General features: G+C 52.2%; 1 annotated feature.

The window, feature by feature from the left end:
- Positions 3223-4193: an enhancer, noted in NCBI's record as "H3K4me1 hESC enhancer chr1:30283373-30284343 (GRCh37/hg19 assembly coordinates)". NCBI's record gives its function as "activates a minimal SCP1, AML or CMV promoter by ChIP-STARR-seq in naive H9 embryonic stem cells {active_cell/tissue: H9 hESC(naive)}" and the evidence as "EXISTENCE:reporter gene assay evidence [ECO:0000049][PMID:30033119]".

Raw genomic sequence — 6000 nt, forward strand, 5'->3', positions numbered from 1 at the left:
TGTTGTGGGAGGGACCTGGTGGGAGGTAATTGAATCATGGAGGTGGGTCTTTCCCATGCTATTCTTATGATAGTAAGTCTCACAAGATCTGATGGTTTTATAAAGAGGAGTTCCCTGCAAAAGTTCTCTCTTGACTGCTGCCATGTAAGATGTGCCTTTCACCCTCTGCCATGATCCTGAGGCCTCCCCAGCCACGTGGAACTGTGAGTCCATTAAACCTCTTTTTCTTTATAAATTACCGAGTCTTGGGTATATCTTTATCAGCAGCGTGAAAATGGACTAATACAGCATGTCAGCCCAGGAGGGTGTCAAAAATAATCCGGTCCAACTCCATTCTTCACACATGGGGAAGATGAGGCCTGGAGAGGGGAAGCAACTTGCAGGAGAACCCTCAGCATGGATATCTGAGTGGAAGCAGAGCCTGCAGTTCCTGGGCTGTAAGAGTGGCTCTTGATCTCTGCACCTACTCATCGGCTGGGTCATCTTGAACAAGTTACCCAGCTTCTCTGAGCCTCAGTTCCTACACCTCAGGAAGCCCATCCACAGAAAAGCAACTCATTAAATGGGTGGGCTTCACTTTCAACAGCAGCCACTGAAGTCCTGGTCTTCGCAGACACAGGTCCTTCATAGCCGCTGCCTGCTTCTGTTTCTGCCTCTCTGGTGAAATGGCGGCCTGGTTTCCAGGCCCAGACCAGGGCTGATGTATCTGCCTGTCACTGGGTATCTAATGGATCATTGGACAAATTGATTTTTGCTAAATCGGTCATTTGATGAATTGATATTTGCTAAATGGATTTTCAGCAAATTAACCCAGAATCTCTACATCTGAGGGCTGTTCAAAAGATTAAATGAGATAATCCATGAGAAACATTTAGCATAGGGCTGGCACATAGTCGGTACTCACTAAATGTTAGCCATAATTATTATTTATTATTATTATTACCGATACTGTCATGGTTGTGACAAAGTACTGCAGATGCTGGGCAAGGGAGAATCTTGGTGGACAGGGTAATGGGGCAGGTGGAGTCGGGGGCTCAGGAACAGGGTGGGGCCTCAGGACCTGTCAAGCCTGATCCCAGGAAGAGGCCTGGTTAGGGACCAAGCCAGAGCTAGGTAACAGAGATGGCTAAGCTCAAGCTCTCAGAGCAAAGAAGGAGGAGGTCTGGGGCTAGGACCAGTCTGTCTATCCACAGCATTAGTCCCTGAGTACAGGGCAGCACATGGTTTGAGGGCAAGGTTGCGGGTCAGGCAGCCAGGGCCCAGCCCAGGCCCTGATGGCCTCTGGAGCCCTTTCTCTAAGGGTTTTTCTGGCTTTGCCACTCTGAGCTGCAAGATCACCTTTCTCTCCACGGGCTGTGCTTGCCTGCAAGCAAGGTGAATGCTCTTTGCTTTAAAACAGCCTCCCTGGGTGCCCGGAATCCTTGCTTAGCATCATTCCCCTTGGGTCAGCATTACCTTCCCAGAGCCCTGGGAGGGGCCATCCCAGCACTGGCTGTGAGCACCTCTGTGTCCCCACCCAGAGATACACATCTGCCCAGGGAAATGCACCTGACTGTTTTAGCCCAGCACCCTGTGACTACCCCCAATCTCAGGAGAAAGGCTGCCTTTGGGCCTCCATTTCCCACAGTGATGAGCGCTGGGAGGCTCAGCTTTGTCTTTCTGTCTCTTGTTGATATGGGCAGGTGTCGTGGCTGCGCCTGAAATCTCCACACACTTTACAGTTACCTTGGACACAAAAAAATTCCTTTTTGCTTAAGTTGATTTGGGTTGGCTTTTCTATTACTTACAACTGAAATATTCCAAAAGATTTTTCATGTTGCTCTGTCTTTGCAGGGAGGAGCCGTGGGCTCACAGGGTTGAGCGACTTCTGTGCCAGGTGCTGGGTTCAGTGCTTCCTCCCAAGTCATCACCACAGCCCTCCGAAGTCATCATTCCCATTTTGCAGATGAAGACACTCAGGTCCATGGAGATGGAGTAATCTGCCAAAGACCTTGAACTGGGAACTAGCTGAGCCATTCTCCTGCACCCAGCTGTCTTCTCTTGAGGCTCAGCGCTCAGGCCCTTGGGAGTCAGAGGACAGAGAACAAGGGCACCGTCCAGGCACCTCCGCAGGCCAGTCTACGGACCTGCCCAGGAAAGAGTAGGGGGGGTGGGGGTGGTACATGATGTAGGGGTTGAAATTTGAGTACTGGAAAAAGACAGATGTAGACAGAAAGGATTTTTTAAAATAACGGATAAACAACTTCAGCTCCTCTCCCCGAGTAGTTGGGCTCACATGTATGGTTAACCAAGGCTCTTTTCCTCTCCCTCCCCAACCGGGGCAATGGCAGGGGGCGGGGGCTGGGAAGGATCCCTGTCTCCTGGCTGTCCCCAGCACCCATGGCTTCTAAAAGCAGGCACATTTCGAGATATTCAGGAGGAAGAAGGAAGCTGAGCCTAGATCTGCAATCTCCTACTAAAATGAAAGCGATTTTACAGAAAGCTTAAGCCACAGTGCTCACGCAGCAGGCAAATGACTGGGTGGCCACCGGGCTCGGCTGCAGGTGAGGAGGTGGGGGCTCAGGGAGGTCGAGAGCAGCAGAGGAGGACCCAAGCCCAGCTCTGCCTGCCCCTCGGCCCTGGCTCTTTCTATTGTTGGGGGCGCCTCCGAGGTTTTGTCACTCACTCACTCACTCGCTCAGTCACTCATTCCATTATTCCTCCAGAAAACATGACTGAGGACCTATCAGGAGCCTGGCCTCTGGGAAGATTGGGTCCAGTAAAGACGGCAGAGAAGACAGCAGGAGGTCCAGAGGGCTGGGGAGGAGCGGGGAGAGGATGACACCTGTCTGCCTTCGGGGATTGAGGACAGAGAATGGGGTGCTCTGCTGGGAGGGACTGAAACCCACTGGGGCTGGCTTAAATCATACCTGGGACCTGATTCCCTGGAGACGTCTGGTGGAGCCTGGGCCTACTGGAGGGGACCGCTCTCCCTCCTTCCCTCCCTCCCTCTCTGGTCCCAGCTCCATGCTGTCTCTCTCCTGCCCTCCCTCCACCTTCTTCCTTCCCTCACTAGGGTCCTACAGGCGCCCTGGGCCCAGGTCCGGCTCTCGGGCCAACCCTGAGCTGATTGGTCTGCCTTGGGTCAGGTGTCTGCCCCAGTCCAGCCAGCTGTGGCAAGGGCGTGGCCACACAACACGTGCAAGTGCGGGGCGGGGGTCATCTCCGGGTCCAGAAGAGGTGGGGGTAGGGGTGATGGTAGGGGTGGGGGGTGGCACCCCAAGAAGGCACTGGCCGGGATCCTCACAACAGCCCTCGGAGGAGCTGTCTCCATGTTAGGGATGAGGTACTGGAGAGCCTTAGAAGCAAAGTGCCCGACTACCTGGGTAGCAAAGTCCAGACTTGAGCCCAGCCTGTCTGACTTCAGCTTCATGCTCAGAACCACGCGCCATGCTGCCCTATTGCGACCAAGCCCTGTGCCAGGGACACAGATGGAGGGCACACTGTCCTGCCCAGTGCAGCCCCATCACGAGTCAGGGAGGTCGCGTCTTCACAGTTGGTAGTGAAAGGTGTGGGTGTTTGGATGGTTCCTCTATTTAGAACTTATCCCATAGATGGGGAAACTGAGGCCCAGATTGGGGCAGGGGCTTGCCTGATGTGACAAAGCCCAGGTCTTCAAGGAGGAATGTGTGAGGCGAAGGAGGGTGGTCAGAAGCTGTGGGTGGGGCTGGCTTTGGGATGCAGCGGCTTGGGGCTTGGACCTGGGCTACAGTTCAGGGCCCAGCACAGGCTTGGGTGGGATTCAGGATCTTATGTGTGGGCTCCAGGAGGATTAACTGGGCAGCCACGTGCAGATGGATGAAGGGGAGAAGGGAAGGAAAGAGCTACTCCCTTGAATTCAGGTCGTGTGGACATGATGTCATGGCAGGTGGTTGAAAAGAAAAATACAAGAAAGCCACAGCAATAACACCACCAACCTAGTAGAGTATCGCTGAGCGTGGAGTTCAAACTGCATTGGAGACTCAGAGCTTTTAAAAATGAAACGTTATAAAGTTTGCATTTTGCAGGAAGAGAAAGAGGGTGAGGGCCCAGTGCTGGGTATAGAAGTCACTGGGAGGGACAGAAATAGCTTTTGTTTCTTATCTACTTCCAGGAACCCTATTAGGTGAGAGGGCTGACAGTGACAACATTTCCCCATTGGGGACGGCCCCGCCTTCCTGGAGATAGTGGCCTGATTATCCAAATGTCCCAGAATCCTCCAGAACATAAGTGCCCCGGGAGCAGGGACTTCTTGTATCTTGTTCTCGGCTTATCTCCAGTGCAGCATCAGATGCTCAGTGAAGATTTGGTAAATGAATGAATGAACGTGAAATCATGTGTGTTTTCCCCAACATTTCCACCAGTGGGGAAGCTTTTCCTTCACTCTATGCTCATCCAGCCCAGGGGTTATGAACCCAATTTTCAAAGTAAAGAGCTCAGGTTTAGACAGGTTTAATGACTCACTCATTTCTTTACAGGGATCAACTGGGACTTGAACTCAGAACACTGGGCTTCCAGCGTATTCTGTGTTGTGTGCTAGGGGTGCTGCGCCATGCTGTGGGTCAGAGTATAGACTCGGGGCACAGGCAGACCTGGCTGAAGTCCTAACCTGCCTTTCCACAGGTGTGTCATGGTAGGTGACTTGGGCCTCAGTTGTGTTGTGAGAGTTAAGTGAGAAATGAGTCTGGAGTAGGGGTCCTCAGCCTGGGCACTACTGAGGTATTTGGGCCAGATAATTCCACATTGTGGAGACTGTTCTGTGCATCACAGGGTGATCAACAGCATCCCCGTCCTGTACCCACTAGATGCCGGTAGCACCTCCCACCCCCGGATATGGCAACTGAAAATGTCTTCAGATGCGTCAAAAATTTCCTCTCGGGGGCAGCATGGCCCCTGCATGGGAACCACTAGAGTGGAGCACCTAGCCCGGTGCCAGGCACAGGGGACTGTTACTTTATTATCATTATTATTATCATCAGGATGATTGTCCATGGGCGCAGGGGCCTCATCTGTCTTGTTTACTGCAGCATCCCTGGGGCCTGCCCTGGCCTGGCACATAGTAGGTGCTCAGTGCTTGGGACTGCAGCCCCCAGGCTCCACTGCCAGCAGCCTGGGGTCTCCTCTGTGCAGCTGGATGGCTTCTTCCTGATGCCCCGTCTGCCAAAGAAACAGCAGTGGACTCTCAAGGAAGGAGCAGTTTCTTGGGATTTTCAATCTCTCTCTCTCTGTTCCTGTTCTCACTCTCCAGTACCGTGCCAGCTGGACTCTGGCAGAGCTGGTGGCAAAATGACAGGGATCCAAGGTTTCAGGCCTTTTGCTCCGACTTTTATCCCCCGATTTCATGCAGCTGCAGCTCTTGCTGCCACTCAGCTGGAGAAATGTCAAAACTATATTAAATCATAGGGCATGAGTGAGCAGTAAGATGACACTTGTCACCCACCTCTTGCTGTTTCCGAGGCTCTTGCGCCCTGACTTGGCCTGTCTTGTGCTCTGAGGGCTTTGCTCATTTCCCCTGCCCTGCTCCGTAATCACATCTGTGGAATTTGAAGTGACTTTCCTGGAATGAGACCTGGAGGAGGTGGGGTACATTTGTCCACAAGACATAGGAAGTGGTGGCCAACATGCCAGGCCCAGGAGCCCAAGCCAGGGTGGTGCAGGGGCGCAGGGTCCAGCAGAACCGACCTGTTAAAGGCAGCTGACAGCTGGAGTTACTTTTTCCCCTTTAAATTGTTTTAATATATTTTAACCGCTTGATTGAAGTATAACTGATACATGATGAACTGTCCTATTTAAAATGTTCAATTTGATGTTTGACATACATATACACCCATGAAACTATCCCCACGATTAAGATAGTGGACAAATCCATCACCCCAAACTTTCCCTGTGCCCCTTGGTAATCCCCCCAATCCACCCCTATCAACTGCCCTCTGCTGATCTGCTTGTTGTCTCTATGGATTAGATTTCATTTTCTAGAATTTT

This window comes from Homo sapiens, chromosome 1 (assembly GCF_000001405.40).
Source record: "Homo sapiens chromosome 1, GRCh38.p14 Primary Assembly".
Lineage (NCBI taxonomy): Eukaryota > Metazoa > Chordata > Mammalia > Primates > Hominidae > Homo > Homo sapiens.